Here is a 21,404-nt window from a genome sequence, read left to right on the forward strand (position 1 = left end):
AGTTCCTTATCATCCTTCTCGGTTTATTTTCCAGCATATCACCACCTTCCAACATGCTATCTTAAAGTATTTATTTTGTATATTGTTCGTTTCCCATCACTAAAGTACAAGCTTCATGAAGACAGATAATTTTGTCTGTTTCTTGCCCTTGGCACCAGTCCAGGATCTCCCTAGCACAGAGAACATAGCAGGCAAGTCATTCTATATTTAAGTTGTTTGCAAATAACTTCATATATTACTCTCCTAGATTGTGTGTACAACCACCAAAGTATTTTCTAAACCAAAATTTGATACACGTGTCTGACGTTTTAAAGACACTTCCAGATTTCTGTGCAGCCTCAACATAGACTTTGGGCACTAATGCTGCCATATTTTGGGAAAATTTTGAGGATTCAAAGACAATAAAATGGTGATTTGAAATCAGGATCGTTCTGTAAAACATAGAACTTATCACTGCTAAACTGTGGCTGGATAGACAACAGGCTAAATCCCAATAGAAATTCTTTAAATCTCTGAAGAGGGTATCTTGTGTGACGGCTGTGGCTGTAGAGAGATTCTCGAGCACTCAGGTTCTTTCAAATCGCAACCTAACTACCTAGTTTACTTACGTGAGGTCATCAACATATAGTAATATATTGCCTCTTCACACACACACACACACACACACACACACACACACACACACATATAGTGAAAGGTGGTTGAAAAATTTCTCTAGGTTTGTATTTAAAGACCCTCAGTTGAGCAATAATGTTTCTTTGAAACCTAAGTCTCTTCAGCAGTATTTTCCTTCCCTTGTGGTAATGGAAAATAGCTGACTATAGAAATAAATGAAATAATTTGGAAAACATTTCAGGATAAGTATGAGGATAAAATGGATGCAAAAAATGAAGAAGTAATTTCTCATATTCTGCTTTAAACTTTAGGCTATACAATTGCTGTCATCAGCATGTACACATTTGAAAGTTATGAGGTAAAGTGATGAACTGGCTGTGTTTGATTAGAATCAATAGAAGATAACATGTTAAGAACAAATAACTTAACCCTGCATGTTAATCCCAGAACCACATTAACTTCAGCAATCTCCATCAGCTTTAATTTTACATCCCCCAGTAACTATATTTTTTTATAGTTGTCAGAGACAGTCAATCTTAAAGTTCTAAGATAGTCCATCTACTTTCATGAAGAAAAAAAAGAAACTGAAGCCTTCGATTTAACACAAATCTAAGTGCTACAATAAGGGATTATTAATACAGATCTGTTGACCCATTATGCTTTTTGACAATGAATTGGGGATGTCTCTTTTCCTTTGAACAAAATCAGCTAAATTTTGAATATATCTTTGAAAATGTTTCCAAGTGTCAATCAGTCATAAAATTTAAGCGTTAGAAACAAGTGGCTGCTCCTAAAATGAAGAAACAGGAAGTGGTATCCATCTTATTTTCAGTTTTTCCAGAAGCCTCTCTTGTGTGTCCAGAGCAAGCACAGAATGTCTGCAGGACCCTTCTCTAATCCTCCTGGTGCTGAGTTGGTGAGTGTGTTTATGTCCTGCCTCTCACTTGAAGAGGCACACGCTTAGGAAACAGCTGTTGACAATTAAATTAATTATCATTTGTCAACAGCATTCTGAGGCCCAGAAAGTCTGTGTTCACGGAAAAGAATGCTGTCGGGCCGCAGTGCACTTTGGAGCGTGTGTTCACTTACAGGACCCATCTAGTTTGGTAAAGTATCTTTAAGATTAAGGTTTTCAAAGCAGTGACAATAACAACTGCCACACAGTTCAGTAATCTCTGCCTCCTAACTTTAGGGTACTTGCTCATCACTTATTTCAGCATTTGTGTTTACCTTGCATTTTAACACAACCCTTAAAAATTAAGGACAAAGAGCAGAGACTAAAATGGATATAAGAAGTCTTAATGTGGGCTGGGCGTGGTGGCTCATGCCTATAATCTCAGCACTTTGGGAGGCTGAGATGGGAGCACTGCCTGAACTCAGAAGTTGGAGACCAGCCTTGGCAACATGGCAAAACCCTGTCTCTAAAAAAATACAAAAATTAGCCAGGCGTGGTTGTGCGCACCTTTAGTCCCAGCTACTCGGGAGGCTGAGGAGGGAGGATTGCTTGAGTTCAGGGGTTGAGGCTGCAGTGAGCTATGATCATGCCACTGCACTCCAGCTTGGTGACAAAGGGAGATCCTGTCTCAAAAATTTATATTAAACAATTATTTTAAAAAGGAAATATCAATGTGGGCATTTAAGAATGAGTAGTTAGGCTGGGCATGGTGGCTCATGCCTGTAATCCTAGCACTTTGGGAGGCCGAGGTGGGTGGATCATTTGAGGTCAGGAGTTCCAGACCAGCCTGGCCAACATGGTGAAACCCCGCCTCTACTAAAAATACAAAAATTAGCCGGTCATGGTGGCGCTTGCCTGTAGTCCCAGCTACTCAAGAGGCTGAGGTTGAAGCATCATTTGAACTCAGGAGGCGGAAGTTGCAGTGAGCCAAGATTGCGCCACTGTACTCCAAGCCAGGGCGACAGAGTGACATTCCATCTCAAAAAAAAAAAAAAAGAATGCATAGTTGACGGTTAAAGCTTAAGTTCCTTGGGTAATAACCCCAAACAATCTATGAATGAGAAATCTAACCATTTAACTCCTTGGTTAAAACACTTGGACATAAATAGTCTGAAGAGCTAAATATGACAGAGGACCAAGAGCTTTAACTTGCTGACTAACCTTTCTTGGTTATGTCTATTTCTACAAAGTTCAGCCAAAAAGCGATTAACCTCAAACTTGACAGATGACTGAGAAAAAAACAAGTGTATTTAAGTCACCCGGATAGTTAACTTTTGTGTTTTTCTTTTGTAAATTAAAAAAAAATGTTGGGAGTTGAGAATGAAAGAGACATATTTAGAAAATATACTTTATCCAATTAGAGCTTTCAATTAAAGTCAACTTCTTTCTAAATTATTTTTGTTTTTAAAATAAAAGTGTTTACGTAGAAAAATAATTTGCATGAATATGCTTCTTGAAGCATTGTTGTTTTTCGTTTTTTTGTTGTTTTAAGAGACAGGGTCTCTCTATGTTGCCCAGGCTGGTCTTGAACTCCTGAGTTCAAACAAACCTCTGGCCTTAGCCTTCCAAAGTGCTGGGATAACAGGTGTGAGCCACTGCGCCTGGCCCAGCATTGTTTGTAATAAGAAACATTTGGTAAGGAATTTAAATACCCCCTAGGTGAATGGGTGAGTACATTATGAGAGAATTGACCCAATAGCCATTTCTTTTTAAATTTATTTTTTTATTATACTTTAAGTTTTAGGGTACATGTGCACATTGTGCAGGTTAGTTACATATGTATACATGTGCCGTGCTGGTGCGCTGCACCCACTAACTCATCATCTAGCATTAGGTATATCTCCCAATGCTATCCCTCCCCCCTCCCCCCACCCCACCACAGTCCCCAGAGTGTGATATTCCCCTTCCTGTGTCCATGTGATCTCATTGTTCAATTCCCACCTATGAGTGAGAATATGCGGTGTTTGGTTTTTTCTTCTTGCGATAGTTTACTGAGAATGATGATTTCCAATTTCATCCATGTCCCTACAAAGGATGTGAACTCATCATTTTTTATGGCTGCATAGTATTCCATGGTGTATATGTGCCACATTTTCTTAATCCAGTCTATCATTGTTGGACATTTGGGTTGGTTCCAAGTCTTTGCTATTGTGAATAATGCTGCAATAAACATATGTGTGCATGTGTCTTTATAGCTGCATGATTTATAGTCCTTTGGGTATATACCCAGTAATGGGATGCCTGGGTCAAATGGTATTTCTAGTTCTAGATCCCTGAGGAATCGCCATACTGACTTCCACAATGGTTGAACTAGTTTACAGTCCCACCAACAGTGTAAAAGTGTTCCTGTTTCTCCACATCCTCTCCAGCACCTGTTGTTTCCTGACTTTTTAATGATTGCCATTCTAACTGGTGTGAGATGGTATCTCATTGTGGTTTTGATTTGCATTTCTCTGATGGCCAGTGATGGTGAGCATTTTTTCATGTGTTTTTTGGCTGCATAAATGTCTTCTTTTGAGAAGTGTCTGTTCATATCCTTCACCCACTTTTTGATGGGGTTGTTTGTTTTTTTCTTGTAAATTTGTTTGAGTTCATTGTAGATTCTGGATATTAGCCCTTTGTCAGATGAGTAGGTTGCGAAAATTTTCTCCCATTTTGTAGGTTGCTTGTTCACTCTGATGGTAGTTTCTTTTGCTGTGCAGAAGCTCTTTAGTTTAATTAGATCCCATTTGTCAATTTTGTCTTTTGTTGCCATTGCTTTTGGTGTTTTGGACATGAAGTCCTTTCCCATGCCTATGTCCTGAATGGTAATGCCTAGGTTTTCTTCTAGGGTTTTTATGGTTTTAGGTCTAACGTTTAAATCTTTAATCCATCTTGAATTGATTTTTGTATAAGGTGTAAGGAAGGGATCCAGTTTCAGCTTTCTACATATGGCTAGCCAGTTTTCCCAGCACCATTTATTAAATAGGGAATCCTTTCCCCATTGCTTGTTTTTCTCAGGTTTGTCAAAGATCAGATAGTTGTAGGTATGCAGCATTATTTCTGAGGGCTCTGTTCTGTTCCATTGATCTATATCTCTGTTTTGGTACCAGTACCATGCTGTTTTGGTTACTGTAGCCTTGTAGTATAGTTTGAAGTTAGGTAGTGTGATGCCTCCAGCTTTGTTCTTTTGGCTTAGGATTGACTTGGCGATGCGGGCTCTTTTTTGGTTCCATATGAACTTTAAAGTAGTTTTTTCCAATTCTGTGAAGAAAGTCATTGGTAGCTTGATGGGGATGGCATTGAATCTGTAAATTACCTTGGGCAGTATGGCCATTTTCACGATATTGATTCTTCCTACCCATGAGCATGGAATGTTCTTCCATTTGTTTGTATCCTCTTTTATTTCATTGAGCAGTGGTTTGTAGTTCTCCTTGAAGAGGTCCTTCACATCCCTTGTAAGTTGGATTCCTAGGTATTTTATTCTCTTTGAAGCAATTGTGAATGGGAGTTCACTCATGATTTGGCTCTCTGTTTGTCTGTTGTTGGTGTATAAGAATGCTTGTGATTTTTGCACATTGATTTTGTATCCTGAGACTCCTGAAGTTGCTTATCAGCTTAAGGAGATTTTGGGCTGAGACGATGGGGTTTTCTAGATATACAATCATGTCGTCTGCAAACAGGGACAATTTGACTTCCTCTTTTCCTAATTGAATACCCTTTATTTCCTTCTCCTGCCTAATTGCCCTGGCCAGAACTTCCAATACCATGTTGAATAGGAGTGGTGAGAGAGGGCATCCCTGTCTTGTGCCAGTTTTCAAAGGGAATGCTTCCAGTTTTTGCCCATTCAGTATGATATTGGCTGTGGGTTTGTCATAGATAGCTCTTATCATTTTGAAATATGTCCCATCAATACCTAATTTATTGAGAGTTTTTAGCATGAAGGGTTGTTGAATTTTGTCAAAGGCTTTTTCTGCATCTATTGAGATAATCATGTGGTTTTTGTCTTTGGCTCTGTTTATATGCTGGATTACATTTATTGATTTGCATATATTGAACCAGCCTTGCATGCCAGGGATGAAGCCCACTTGATCATGTTGGATAAGCTTTTTGATGTGCTGCTGGATTCATTTTGCCAGTATTTTATTGAGGATTTTTGCATCAATGTTCATCAAGGATATTGGTCTTAATCCTGAGTTCTAGTTTGATTGCACTGTGGTCTGAGAGACAGTTTGTTATAATTTCTGTTCTTTTACATTTGCTGAGGAGAGCTTTACTTCCAAGTATGTGGTCAATTTTGGAATAGGTGTGGTGTGGTGCTGAAAAAAATGTACATTCTGTTGATTTGGGGTGGAGAGTTCTGTAGATGTCTATTAGGTCCACTTGGTGCAGAGCTGAGTTCAATTCCTGGGTATCCTTGTTGACTTTCTGTCTCGTTGATCTGTCTAATGTTGACAGTGGGGTGTTAAAGTCTCCCATTATTAATGTGTGGGAGTCGAAGTCTCTTTGTAGGTCACTCAGGACTTGCTTTATGAATCTGGGTGCTCCTATATTGGGTGCATATATATTTAGGATAGTTAGCTCTTCTTGTTGAATTGATCCCTTTACCATTATGTAATGGCCTTCTTTGTCTCTTTTGATCTTTGTTGGTTTAAAGTCTGTTTTATCAGAGACTAGGATTGCAACCCCTGCCTTTTTTTGTTTTCCATTTGCTTGGTAGATCTTCCTCCATCCTTTTATTTTGAGCATATGTGTGTCTCTGCACGTGAGATGGGTTTCCTGAATACAGCACACTGATAGGTCTTGACTCTTTATCCAATTTGCCTGTCTGTGTCTTTTAATTGGAGAATTTAGTCCATTTACATTTAAAGTTAATATTGTTATGTGTGAATTTGATCCTGTCATTATGATGTTAGCTGGTGATTTTGCTTGTTAGTTGACGCAGTTTCTTCCTAGTCTCGATGGTCTTTACATTTTGGCATGATTTTGCAGCGGCTGGTACCGGTTGTTCCTTTCCATGTTTAGCGCTTCCTTCAGGAGCTTTTAGGGCAGGCCTGGTGGTGACAAAATCTCTCAGCATTTGCTTGTCTGTAAAGTATTTTATTTCTCCTTCACTTATGAAGCTTAGTTTGGCTGGATATGAAATTCTGGGTTGAAAATTCTTTTCTTTAAGAATGTTGAATATTGGCCCCCACTCTCTTCTGGCTTGTGGGGTTTCTGCCGAGAGATCCACTGTTAGTCTGATGGGCTTCCCTTTGAGGGTAACCCGACCTTTCTCTCTGGCTGCCCTTAACATTTTTTCCTTCATTTCAACTTTGGTGAATCTGACAATTGTGTGTCTTGGAGTTGCTCTTCTCGAGGAGTATCTTTGTGGCATTCTCTGTATTTCCTGAATCTGAACGTTGGCCTGCCTTGCTAGATTGGGGAAGTTCTCCTGGATAATATCCTGCAGAGTGTTTTCCACCTTGGTTCCATTCTCCCCATCACTTTCAGGTACACCAATCAGACGTAGATTTGGTCTTTTCACATAGTCCCATATTTCTTGGAGGCTTTGCTCATTTCTTTTTATTCTTTTTTCTCTAAACTTCCCTTCTCGCTTCATTTCATTCATTTCATCTTCCATTGCTGATACCCTTTCTTCCAGTTGATCGCATCGGCTCCTGAGGCTTCTGCATTCTTCACGTAGTTCTCGAGCCTTGGTTTTCAGCTCCGTCAGCTCCTTTAAGCACTTCTCTGTATTGGTTATTCTAGTTATACATTCTTCTAAATTTTTTTCAAAGTTTTCAACTTCTTTGCCTTTGGTTTGAATGTCCTCCCATAGCTCAGAGTAATTTGATCGTCTGAAGCCTTCTTCTCTCAGCTCGTCAAAGTCATTCTCCATCCAGCTTTGTTCCGTTGCTGGTGAGGAACTGCGTTCCTTTGGAGGAGGAGAGGCACTCTGCGTTTTAGAGTTTCCAGTTTTTCTGTTCTGATTTTCCCCATCTTTGTGGTTTTATCTACTTTTGGTCTTTGATGATGGTGATGTACAGATGGGTTTTCGGTGTGGATGTCCTTTCTGTTTGTTTTCCTTCTAACAGACAGGATCCTCAGCTGCAGGTCTGTTGGAATACCCTGCCTTGTGAGGTGTCAGTGTGCCCCTGCTGGGGGGTGCCTCCCAGTTAGGCTGCTCGGGGGTCAGGGGTCAGGGACCCACTTGAGGAGGCAGTGTGCCCGTTCTCAGATCTCCAGCTGTGTGCTGGGAGAACCACTGCTCTCTTCAAAGCTGTCAGACAGGGACATTTAAGTCTGCAGAGGTTACTGCTGTCTTTTTGTTTGTCTGTGCCCTGCTCCCAGAGGTGGAGCCTACAGTGGCAGGCAGGCCTCCTTGAACAGTGGTGGGCTCCACCCAGTTCGAGCTTCCCGGCTGCTTTGTTTACCTAAGCAAGCCTGGGCAATGGCGGGCGCCCCTCCCCCAGACTCGCTGCTGCCTTGCAGTTTGATCTCAGACTGCTGTGCTAGCAATCAGTGAGATTCCGTGGGCGTAGGACCCTCCGAGCCAGGTGTGGGATATAGTCTGGTGGTGCGCCGTTTTTTAAGCCGGTCTGAAAAGCGCAATATTCGGGTGGGAGTGACCTGATTTTCCAGGTGCGTCCGTCACCCCTTTATTTGACTCGGAAAGGGAACTCCCTGACCCCTTGCGCTTCCCAGGTGAGGCAATGCCTCGCCCTGCTTTGGCTCGCGCACGGTGCGCGCACCCGCTGACCTGCGCCCACTGTCTGGCACTCCCTAGTGAGATGAACCTGGTACCTCAGATGGAAATGCAGAAATCACCAGTCTTCTGCGTCGCTCACGCTGGGAGCTGTAGACCGGAGCTGTTCCTATTCGGCCATCTTGGCTCCTCCCCTCTCAGTCCCCAATAGCCATTTTAAGTAGTTATGAAGAAACTCGCTTGTAATGAAATTGCAAAAGAAATGAAATTACAAAAGAAAACCTGGTGATATTATTGAAAAATAAAAAGGTGAATGACGATTCAGGATATAAGGATTGTATGTACTGATTTCAAATATTTGAAAGCACTTCCAAAATCTTTATGTTGAAAAAGCTTCCAAAATCTTTATGTTGTGGCTATAAATTTATTGGTTTCACTTGAAGTAATATATCAGAAAGATTTATTTTGATGCCAAAGAGAAACTGTAAAAACGGTACTGATAAAAATCTAAAGGAAACCAGAAAGCTTAGTTTCTTTTTAAACTATTTGACTGTAAATAAAAACCAGTTCAGCAAATATCCTTTCTAACTCTCTGCTTCTCCACCCCACAATTTGTTCGGTATCTGAAGGCTTTGGATAAGCCTGTAATGTGTAATGTATTCTTCTGTAACACTATCCCTTACTTTTCTCTAATCCCTCCTGTTTAAAAAGTTAGCAAGAAATAAGCAAGCAAACAAACCTACAGCTAGCGAAGAAACTATGGAAAATGACAGATATTCACAATGGGTTTTTTGCTAGTTGCAAAAGAACTAGCAAAACTCCACTTGGGAAGTTCAAAGAGGGTCTATTGACCATAATATTTTTTTTAACATTAAGTGAAGTTTAAACTATAATATCCTTTTTCAAGGGCCTCATTTCTAAAACACTTGGCAATTACAAATCTGAACAAGGTATATACTCTTTAGTTGCCAATGAGCAAAAGTAGTAAATCTATTATCTAGGTGGAATGGATCATTCTATAAAAGTTAGAAGTGAAGCCCTTACATTCTTACATTTAAGGTATGGAAAAAGGAAACCTCATTTTACAGAGGTGCGGAAGGGAACTATAAACATGAAAATCAGTTTTTAAGTTTTTGCAAATAGTTTAAATTCAGAACTAAAGCCTTCCCTTTATTTTTGGACAGTTATTTTGCTGCTGCTTCTGGAAATATAGGGTCATCAATGTCCTCTAATGCTGAGCCAGCAATCCTAATTGAATACAGACATTAATCAACAAGAATCTATAAAGATACTGTGAACCTAGTAATATATGGAGATTTGTGCTTCTCTAAATCTGATGTGCACACTAACCACCCAGGAAGAGAGTTAAAATGTGGATTCTAATTTGGTAGGTCTGGGTGGGTTCTAAGATCTTGGAGTTCTAACAAACTCCCACCTAATGCAATGCAACTGCTGTAAGGACTAGTCTTTGACAAACACAATTCCAGGGTTACAAAAGGCAAAGTGGCATGCCTTTATAAAAGTGAAATCAATAATTGACTGAGGCAAACCATATGGCTCTTGCCAGATAGAGATGGAGCAGCTACAGATGAGCTCTAGCTGGCTACTGGTGTTGGGGCCCAGTGCCGCCTGAGGATGAAATGATAACTAGTTAAAAGTATCTAGTTCAGTGGCTGATTACCACATAGGTGCTTGATCATTTTTTCCCCTTTTTTCTATAAAATAATTACCAAAGGAAACTTAGCATTTTATACGGAGAAAATCAAATGTTGATCAAGAGAGTGGGGCAATGGGTATAATGCAGTATGAAGCAGACATTGTATCTGAAATGTGTTTCTTTTGGAACAAGACTAACCTTATTTAACCAAAAAAGCTTGAAAGAGAAACTTTCTATAAGAGAAGTAACAGGAAAGTCTACAGAGGGGTGGTGGGGAGGAGCTAGAACTGGACTATGAAGCTAAGGAAAAGAGACGAGAAAGGAAGGTTGATGGAGCAACGTAACGTGCCTGTATGGGGAGAAAGTCCTTGAGAAATTGCTAGAGATGGGAATGCCCAAAAGACTTCAGAGACAATAAACTTTCAGTTCTAAGTTATTTGCTGGGTTATAGACCAAGTAACAAATTCTCTCTATTGCCCCAAGGCAATGTGGGCTGGACACATACAGTCTTGTGTAGAAAGTAGTTTGGTGCTGGAGGATTTGAGGTGGTGCCAGCCTGATGGTGATGTGCTGCTGGGAAAGAACAGCATGCACAGAAGGCAACACAGGGATAGACCATGGGGAATTCACCAGGAGGTCATTAGTGACCAGGGAAGCTTAACCCCTAAACAATCAACATTCCTCAGAGTTATTAGGAGAGACAATAGGTTTCCCATTGTGGGGGCAGGTTACAAGCCAATTTTTTGTTAGCCTTTTAAAAGGATAAGGTAACTTTAGCAAGCTGGAGTCCTTGGGAACATTTAGGGAGTTGATAATTTACATAAAATAAGGTGCTAATTGAGGCAGTGATTGCACAAATAAACACAGAAGGGAGAGATATACGTCCAGAAATCAACCAGAAAACTTAGCAAACATTAGAGTTTACTTTAGATTTCAAACTATGGGAAAGTAAGAGTCATTGTGGGATCTTGAACAGTAATGTGAACTAAATGGTGCAGCATTTTGGCAAAACCAGCAGGACAAGTTTAGAAGAACATATCAGTCAATCTTATGAACACATTTTTTCAAAAGTCTTAAGACTGGAATATCCATCAAGTTTTTACCTGAAAATGTTATAGCATAGGCTTAGCATAATAATTCAAGCCAACTTTTCAATTTAGGTTGATACTCTTAAAGGATGTCCTTCTTACTTCCTGAGACAGCTCCTTGCACATGTCAATTTCCCTATAGCATATTTTCATAGCGGAGATGGAACAATGTGTAATTTATTAATTAGGGATCATGAGTTGCATTGTATAGATTGATATTGGCTTAACACTGAATTTTTAGGGGAAAAAAACTTGTCACGAATATTTTATGCTTTGTTCATTCAGATAGTAGATGATAAAGGAGAGAAGAATTTTAAGAAGTCTATGCTGATAACAAAGGCAGACATTTACTCTGAAGCCAAAGCTAGATGTCATCACTGTATTTGATCAATCAATGATTTTTAGGTTTTATATCTATACATGTGAGCTAGAAATGCTATGATCCATATTTTCTTTGGTAAACCTTTTTTCAAGCAAGTCATAAAAAGCAAGATTGAAAAGGTTGAGGTTTCTTAGAAAAATAACCGCTATTTTATAGTGGAACAAATTCTATCTTCATCTCTCACTATCCTACATGCTGCTGGATTCCAAAGGAGAAGCTGGGATTACTCTTTCTCTTCTATAACTTATGGGAGCATGTTCAAACACTTGGCCCCAGAATACAAAGCTCACAATCTACTTTTCTGGACTCATCTCCTTGTTCCTTCTTTTATTCCATATTCTAAACGTACCAACATAAATGACCATTCCTTAAAGCTGCCCAGTGTGTTCCATGTATTTGCTGCATGTCCTGATCAGCCTTCCTTTTCTCCATTAGCCTGAAACATCTAGCCTGTCTCTTAAAATCAGCTCCTTGGCACCTATCTGCAATTATTGTTCTTCAAAGAACCCTCAGGATTTTGTATTTGGTTTTGTTGTAGTACTTCTATGATTCTTTAAATATTTGATTACAAGTATCTTTCCCACTGGTCTATGACTTCTTTAAAGGTATGAACAATGTATTATTCTTACACATTATTTTCATGCTTAGTGTATAATAGATGCTCAAAAAATATCTGATGATTACAATGCATAACAGGGAAAAATAAGCTTGAAAGGTAAAAACTAAACAAAACTACAAGCCCTTCACAGTATATCTCCAGCTAATCCCACTGGATTTTAGTGACTAAACGAAGAGGGAAAGATGTTGAGGGGTCCTACAAAGGTGGTGCGAGGAATTAAGAGTTAATTTATAATCTGTAGAACCAATTGTTGCTTCAGAGAAGTATTCAAACAGATTCTCCTTGTTTCAATTAAATTCACAATATACCCACCCAAAACATAAAAGGCCATAGTCTCTTCCTTTGTTCTGATTCTTTGAAACATCAGGATTCAATGGGTCCACCAACTGAATTTGGGGTGGACTTGGAATATATTTTATTGTCAGTGATTGGGGCAGACATTCCCGTTCCCAATGCATTTAGAAAGGCAAGATCAAGTTGAAAAGTAGTAATTGGTTGGCAATTTACAAATAATAATGGGTTTAAAATGGCACACAATCCTTTGACAGGCCTTCTACAGAGAGGTGAGTTCTATATTCCCTCCCTTTGAATCCAGGCTCTGTAACTGCTTGACAAATAGAACATGTCTGAGGGATGCTGTTGGTTTCTGCATCCATACCCTAAGAAATAGGCAGCTCCCACTTCCTGTTTCTTAGGCCACTCACCCTTGGAACTTAGGGACCAGGTGTGAGGAAGCCCCAGCTGCCTTAAGGAGAGGACGTTGTGGACAGGAATGTGCTGTCAGGACCGCTTTGCCAACCATGTGAATGGGGAGTCGTGGAAGTGGATTCCTTCCCCACCCCAACCTATCCAGGAGGCTCCTTGTTTTCTGCATAGTAGGAGGCATAAGACATAAACTTGAAAACCATTTCTTGTGGTAGTTATGCTCCTGTGACTACGTTCCTCCTTCTGTCTGAACTCTATTCATTGACTAATATAAAACACAATGTGCTATGCAGATAGAAGGTAGAGAAGAGTTTTATTACTGACCTTTGCAATCTGTTGATATTAAGGTAAAATTTGGTCACTTCGTAATCATATTGACTTCTTATTTAGAGAAACTTTCCCCTCATTTTCCGGACCATAATCCCGATACATACATAACTTATTTAGGACAGAATAATACTATTCTCAAACAATTCCAAAAGTTTTACATTTTTTCATATTGCTGTAAAATTTAAATAACAGGCTGATAATCTTATGGCATTGAATATACTGAAACTATCGTTGGCCTACGAAAAGTAAAAGTTTAGGAAAGCAAAACCTCAAAAATAAAACAAAATTTCTACTTGTCTCTGGTTTGTCTCCATAATGTATTCCAAAGAATATGATTATGAATAAATTTATATAGATATATTTTAAGTCAGTACTCTCATAAGCATAATTAAGTGGTAACCATCTATATTGTCTAAGCACAAAGTCACATTATTTTTTTCCCCCAGCTTTATTAACATAGGATTGAAAAATAAAAATAGTAAATATTTACAGTGTACAACATGGTATTTTGAGGTATGTATACATTGTGAAATGATTAATTATATATTGTGAAATGATTAATTCAATCAAAATAACATTTATGCTCACATACTTAACATTTGTTTCGTGGCAAAAACATATAAGATCTACTCTTTTAGCAACTTTCAAGTATACAATACATCATTATTAACTGTCACTGGGGTGTAAAATAGATTTCCAGAACTTGTTCATCCTGTTTAACTGAAGCTTTGTACCCTTTGAGCAACAATTGCTGCAAAGTTGTATTGTTATTACGAATGTAAAACTTAGATTGGTTAAGTGCTAATGTCCCCTCTACTTAGACACTGGAGGAAGGGCCAAGAATAGCAAAAGTTTGCCCTCTAAAAGAACTCTAGCCCTGATACTTATCTGAGAATTTGGATTTCTCTTCAAAGCTCATTGGTAATTAATCAAAAACATTATCATAGGACCAGTGCTTACCATTTCATATTTTCTTTTACTATTTCCTGCCAAAATCATAAAGTGTGTACGTGTGTGTGTGTGTGTGTGTGTGTGTGTGTGTGTAGGCAGGATAGTTTAAAATGCTTATCTATTTGGGGGTATAAAGCAGTAGGTAAAGTTTTGGATTTATTTTTCATTGTATTCATCTAGTTCATCCATCTGTAGATGAATTTGTTTCCCTAAAATGAATATTATTAATGCTACTCATTCAAATGTTAATGAAGTAACACTCACAATTCCTGCAAGATATTTATAAACAGAGTGCTGTTGCTAACTTGCAGAGGGCGATGATGAAGTGGCAAATTTCTGACACCATAAGATAAAGCCCATTGCTATCTAAGGCTGTTGAAACCTAAAAATCAATCTTTTAGCTTTTATTCATAGAAACTTAGGAAAATAAAATGCTGCAAAAACACATTCTTTCTTTATAATGCCTGAATAGTCCTGCATGAACATCAACATTTAGGCAGTTAATTATTTATACCATCAGAGATGAGTCTATCTTCCCTCACCTATGCCTTACTAGACAGTTCCTGAGCAGCAAGATAGTGGAGGCATTGTGCTGGAATGCCCTGTGGTGATGTAACTGACAAGGAATCTACCACAAATCCCAGTGCTGAGCATTCATTTCTCTCTTTCTTGCAAGGGCAAAGGTTATATACTTTCTAAGAGCACACTTCACAAAATAAATACTTAAATATACCACATTTTTGGCTACTCATGGAGGAAATAATTGTGTAGAAGAGCTCCAAGGAGATGCTTTATTGATGAAGATCAATGAATCAGAGATATGTAGATGAAATTTTCCTGAGATAACACCATCTTCAAAAATAAGGAAAACCCTTTGAGCTGAAACATGTTTTGGATCCAGGAAACCTCTGTTCATAGGAGGGAAATAATTGAAAACACCTGAACCTTACATACCACTTGTTTCACGTGTTCCTATTACAAATCTTTGAGGAAAAGAGGTTGGGAGGGAAGTCTGTTAGGGGTGAGATGGCTTATTGGCCATAGTCACCAGAGCCCTTTTGGTTGTATGTTTATACTCCCAATGTGAACATGATAATCATCACAAATGGAGACAGCTGGAAGAAATTTTAAACCATGAAATAAGTTAACTTTTATTGTACACTCTTAAATTTCCTGCTAGTCTCCTCAAAACATTATGACTGCACAGTTTCCATAGTAACCATGAACAAAACGGAACAGTCTACACGATTTGGCCAACACCTGATTCAAAGATAACACTTAATGGTGCAAAGTGGCAAAAAATGTTATTGACAGTTTTCTGAAAATGTACAAGTCTGCTCCGGAGTGTCCAAAAATGAGGAAATAATGTCAACGGTGTGGCCCAGCAACTAGAAAATATTTATGTTGCAGTATAACCAGAAAGTATACGTAAAGTTGTTTTGTTGAGCAATGGATATCTTCTCAGAGGCTTGAGACTAGAATATGATTTTCTTCCATCTTGGAAATACTAGCTATATTTTATTAGAAGTACTTTGTAAACCATTTTAACCATTTTAGTGTACAATTCAGTGGCATTAAGTACATTCACAATGTTGTGCAACCATCATCTCTATCCATTTCCTGAATATTTCTCATCATCCCCAACAGAGACTCTATACCCATTAAATAATAGCTTTCCATTCTCCCCTTTCCAGCACAGCCCCTAGTAAACTCTGTTATACTTTCCATCTCTATACATTTTTTATTCAGATAAGTGAAATTACATAATATTTATCCTTTTGTGTATGGCTTATCTCATTTAACATAATGTTTCAAAGTTTATCCACGTTGTAGCATGTATTAGAACTTCATTTTTTTAATAACTGAATAACATTTCATTGTATTATACACCAGATTTTAAAAAACCCATTCATCTGTCGATGAACACGTGTTGTTTCTATTTTTGGGCTTTTGTGAATAATAGTCTATGAACACTAGTACAAAAGTGAGTCAGCCAGGTGGGAGGGGTTCCCTGGAAAAACTCCAATCAGCCTGCAACTGAGGTGGAGCCTTGGGTTCCTGCCCTTTGCAGCGAGGATGAGACCGGCCCCTCCTCTTCCTGTGTGGAACCTGGTATTTCAACGGCCGGCGGGAAGCACTGTAGCAGGGGACTGGCCTTGCAGAGGATCCCTGTTTCTCCCATTTAACCCCCCTTTCACCCAATAAAACCCTGCTTTACTCACCCTTTAACCATCTGCGAGCCTAAATTTTCATGGCTGTGGAACAGACAAGAACCCCGTCTTTAGCTAAACTAAGGAAAGGTCCTGCAACAAAAGCATATGTTTGCGCCGGGCATGGTGGCTCATGCGTGTAATCCCAGCACTTTGGGAGGCCAAGGCAGGCAGATCACCTGAGGTCAGGAATTCGAGACCAGCCTGGCCAACATGGTGAAACCTCGTTGCTACTAAAAATACAAAAATTAGCCATGCAGGGTGGCGGATGCCTGTAATCCCAGCTACTCGGGAGGCTGACGCAGGAGACTCACTTGAACCTGGGAGGCGGAGGCTGCAGTTAGTGGAGATCACACCACTGCACTCCAGCCTGGGCAACAGAGTGAGACTCCATCTGAAAAAAAAAAAATGCATATGTTTGAATCCCTTGGCATATTTTTAAAAATATATTTTTAGCTCTTGGTGCTTGGGTGTAATAAACCAACAAAACTCAATGAATTTCTCTTCATGGTCACCACTGATAAAATTTTTGGGTTATTTTACTTTTAATCTTTTAAAAGAAGATATTGGGGAAAAATTCTCACTTCTCTCCTTCCCCTCAAACTCCAAGAAAGTATGCACCATATCTTCCTGTATATGCTATATAAATATACATGAATCAATTTAAATAGAGCTACAAGGAATAGGCAGGATATTGTCACAGAATCTGAAGCAATCATACTTTCTCACTACAAATAGGGTCAACATTAATAATTGGCATATTTCATTTTTTTAAACTTTTAGACTGTTGATAGGTATAGAATAAGATAGCTGTAGAATAAGGACTGAGGATGGCATTTTTAAAAGGTAGCTCCATTACATTATTTAATTAAAATATTTTTGTTCCTTTGTCATTTCCTGTTCTGTCCATGGGATTTTGCACATAGTAAGTATCACAAGCTGAAAGGTGAGACTTTTTTGGCAAATTTTAGATAAGTGTAGGCAGGTTTAAAAACTCCCAGCTGGTTACTCCGTAGAAATTTAACTCATTCTTTCATTAGGAAGCTGAATTAACCCCATACTTCAAGGAGACAGATTCCAACTGTAGAGAATCAGACAGACTCCAAGATTCATAATTCCTGACACATATGCTTTTGGAAAATGCATCTGTAGAAACTGTGGAAGTTGTAGACTTGATAGTTGGGTTGGATATAAAAGACTGAAGTCACAAGGGCACTTCATGTGAACAAAATAAAGACTGTGCTGGTTTTGCTTTTGACCAATGTTTTTTTCTCAACTGCTTAGAAAACAAATACTTTAACTTGTCCACTAACTCTAGCTTTTTCTTTCAGAAATGGTGACAGTAAAGTCCTAAGGAATTATTTTTTTTATCTAAAAGAAACTATTTTCTTGCTTGCTTGCTGCTGGCTTCCTCTCCTGTGTGATGAAGGTTGGTTGCAACATGCTAGGCATCTTCATTTTCTCTAGACTTGGATATTATTGTCCTGAGCAAAAAAATTAATGGCAATGCCTGGTGAAATGTAATTCTGACCGGAATGCTTCAGTTGTTATAGCAATATGAAGTAAAGGTGTTCAGAGTCTTTCCATTCATATTAACCTTAAATTAAGACCCAGAATCATCAGGTCTTGATCATACTCACAGATGCACGACAGTAACAGCAGGAAAGAAATTCTTTTTTGTTGTCTTTTCAGACAGGGTCTGGCTCTGCTGCACAGGCTGGAGTGCAGTGGCATGATCCTAGCTCACTGCAGACTTAACCTCCTGGGCTCAAATGATCCTCTAGCCTCAGCCTCTCAAGTAACTGGGACTACAGCCAGGTGCCAACACACCCGGCTGTTTTTTAAATTTTTTTTGTAGTGACAGAGTTTCACTATGTTTCCCAGGCTGGTCTTGAACTCCCACCTCGGCCTCCCAAAGTGTTGGGATTACAGGCATGAGCCACAGTGCCCAGCCATGGGAGGAAATTATGAGAACTCAACTTTTGCCAAGGTGAAAGGATTATTCATTTTTTTTTCCCTGTGAACTCAACTCTGTAATGTGCACTTGTTTAGTTTACAGTTTAATGGTGATTTATGATGTTCAGGGCTCTTTTATGCCTAAGCAGCTTAGCTATTATATTTCATTATCTGGGTATGGATACTGTTTACTTCTGGTTTTGAATATGGGGATCAAAATTGTTTGGAGGCAGCCAGTTTACTGACCCATTTTTAAATGTTCACACCCTTCATTTTCTTCTTGCTGGTACTTGAGTAGTGCCTAATTATCTTTTCCTTTAAATATTTTAGGTGTGCCCCAGACTTGAAAGAAACCAGGTAACATACTTAAAGTGTGATAGAAAAAAAAAAAAACAAAAACAAGCTTTGTTTTCCTGTGTGCAGCAGGCTTGAATTTTCTGTAGAAGTCTTAGTAGGAGGCATTACAGCCTGAGATGTTTGTGTTCTATGCCTCCTCTATGAAAGCGGAACCCGCTACGTTTGCTCAGGCATTTGATTTTCTTTAAGTTGTGGAATGTCTTTGGCCAGCATGGCAGGGAGCCTAGATTGCAGGTCTTTTTACTCTTCCATACAACTGGACCATGACACCATAAAGGTAAAGCTGGGAAAACAAGAACAGGGTAACTAACAAGAAGTGCACAGTGTACTTCTTTGAAAGAAGGAGGTTGTGGGAAAAAAAAATTCATGAAATTTCAACTGACTGAAAAATTTTGGAAATTGATAGATCAGCTTGGGGCTGAGAGGAGAAACATATTATCAGTGCAGAGATTGAAGGAATATGCCACAAAGTAGAGATAGAAAACACTGATATCAGAAAATGTAACTATTAGACTTTCAAAACTCCTTTAGGGCAGGTTTCACATTAAAGAGCATTAAATATTAGTCCCTCTCTCTGGGGGTTAAATACCAACTCCCCATTGACAAAAAGTGGCCCCAGGAGAAACTGTTATAAAAACTTCTTGTCAGGTCCCAAGGAACACTCCTTGGAGGGCTAGAAGAATATCCCATGTTTGGACTGTCCAGTTTAGACCACTGAGGACAGTAAGAGATATGTGAACATAGCTCAGTTCATGAAAAGACTCCATCACCAGCACTTTTATTAGGAATGCCTCCTATGTGTAAGAGCGTTTACTGGTTGTGAGTTTATATGCTGTGTTTGCAATGTTGGTGCTTTCTATGGGTCCTAAGCAATTGCATACTCTTGAGGACAGTTCTGGTGATCTGTAACAAGACCCATTTGTTCCCCTGCTCTTTCTTCCATTTTTATACTTTTTTTGAGAATCCTCAGTATTTCCTAGCAAGTCTAAACGTTCACACGACAGGTGGCAGCCACACAGGAAAATTACCTGGCCTTTCCAGAATTCTCTTAACTTGCGAAAAGTTCTGTTTCTGTGGCATTCTTTGGCATCGCCCACAGACACTGTTCATTAGTCACACAACAGAATGCCCACACATTCTTTGTAAGGTACTGAGTAAGGAGAGCATTTGAGAGCCTGACTCTGAGCACATTGCATGCTTTTAATCAGTTGTTGCACAGAAATGTAATTAGTGGTCAAATAAACTCGAGATTGAACTTTGTTTTTGTCTGTTTGTTTGTTTTTGTTGTTGTTTTGAGACAGAGGCTCACTCTGTTGCCCGGGCTGGAGTGCAGTGGTGCAATCTCAGCTCACTGCAGCCTCCACCTTCCGGGTTCAAGCATTTCTCTTGCCTCAGCCTCTCGAGTAGCTGGGACTACAGGAATGTGCAACAATGCCCAGCTAATTTTTGTATTTTTAGTAGAGATGGGGTTTCAACCATGCTGACCAGGCTGCCTTTGAACTCCTGACCTCAAGTAATCCACCTGCCTAGGCCTCCCAAAGTGCTGGGTTTACAGGTGTGAGCCACTGTGCCCAGCCATGAGATCGAACTTTCATTGCTTGTTTGTCTCTGTAATTGGCATTCTGTTAAATTAGCAATTTTAGAAGTAGAACCTAAATCTTTCTTGCAGTTTGGAACAGTGGTAGCCCACTCCTCCTTTTGTGAATGAAAATGTTTCTTCTGGTCCTGCTTCTAAATGTGTGGTGTTTCTTTCTTTCAGACAAATTTGAGTGGGGAAAAAAGACAAAGACAATCTTAAAGGTTAATTAGCAGAGTGGTGTGGAAGAGCAATGGCATCATGTTGAGATTCTAGTCTTAACTTTGCTACTTACTATCTAAGTGACTTTGGGCAAGTCACTTAATCTCTCTGATCTGAAGGTTCTTTAGCTATAAACTGGAGATAGTATCAGCCCTGCCTACCTCAAAGGCTCAAGTGACATAATGTAAAGCCATGAAATGCTATCCAAATGTCCAGCATTACAGGTTGCCAAGGATGCTCATGAATACCAGTAAGAACCAAACAAACAATTGCCTCATCTCTGAACAATTTTCCACAAACTGACAAGTCCGACTCAGGAGCTGATAGCAATAGATAAATCATCCACTCATGAACAGTTAAACTGAATAAGTAAAATTTTGCTCCCAGTAAGGCTTCAGAAGGGCACAGTGAAGGGCACATTGATGATCAACTCTGAAGATACCACCAGAGGGGGGTGGGAGCTCTGAGAAAACAGAAGTAAGGCATCTTAGGAGGCCCAGAACTTTTCAAAACAGGGTGGGCAGATTTTTTTAAAAAATCAAAGCTACCAAAGAATATGCCACAGAGAGGATCAATGAACAAGTCTTTTACCGTGGTAGTTAAGCAAAATAATAACCGAGGAAGATCAACGAAGGCTAAAAACCTCTGCCAAATTGTTATTCAATATCCAATGGGATGATTCAGAACATTTTTTTCCAAGCAAAACATAAAAAATTCCCCCCCTTTTTTTTTGTATACAATAAAATGTCCCCTTTCCAACTCATATGCAAATTCAGTAGAATTCTCTCTGGCTACAGGGAGTGAAACATAATCAAATTATGGAAGTGCTGTTGCTAAATGCCTGGGCAGATTTCAGACCTCATTCTTTGCATTTCAATTGCACACTACTAAAGCTTATGACAACTGAAGGAAATTGATCACCAGGTAGACATAACTCAGGATCTCCGGGAGCAAGGACTATATTACTAGGAGCCAAATCTGAATTCTTGGCTCCCAGTAATACAATTCTTGCCATTAAAATACCTTGGGATTAGTTCTGGCTTTGTGGTTAATTACTGGTTAATTTTGGTAAATAACCTCTTCAGACTGCAGTTTCTTTTGCCCTAAAGGAAAA

At 39.2% G+C, this 21,404-nt stretch overlaps 1 protein-coding gene across 20 annotated transcripts in view; it reads right to left on the reverse strand.

Annotated features, from left to right (window-relative positions):
• LMNTD1 (lamin tail domain containing 1) overlaps window positions 1-21,404 on the reverse strand; it is a 172,497-nt gene that overhangs the window by 5,140 nt on the left and 145,953 nt on the right. For 10 of the 20 annotated variants that reach the window (XM_047428413.1, XM_017018891.2, XM_011520578.3 and 7 more), the window contains one exon: window positions 18,631-18,775. The exons of 4 other annotated variants lie outside the window; for them this stretch is intronic. The gene's annotated coding sequence lies outside the window, so the exon portion shown is untranslated. Of the gene's footprint in view, window positions 1-15,094; window positions 17,664-18,630; window positions 18,776-21,404 lie in introns of those variants that run through there. 6 more of the 20 variants (NM_001145727.3, NM_001352234.2, NM_001352233.2 and 3 more) reach the window with 2 other exon arrangements.

This window comes from Homo sapiens, chromosome 12, assembly GCF_000001405.40.
Source record: "Homo sapiens chromosome 12, GRCh38.p14 Primary Assembly".
NCBI classification, from domain to species: Eukaryota; Metazoa; Chordata; class Mammalia; order Primates; family Hominidae; genus Homo; species Homo sapiens.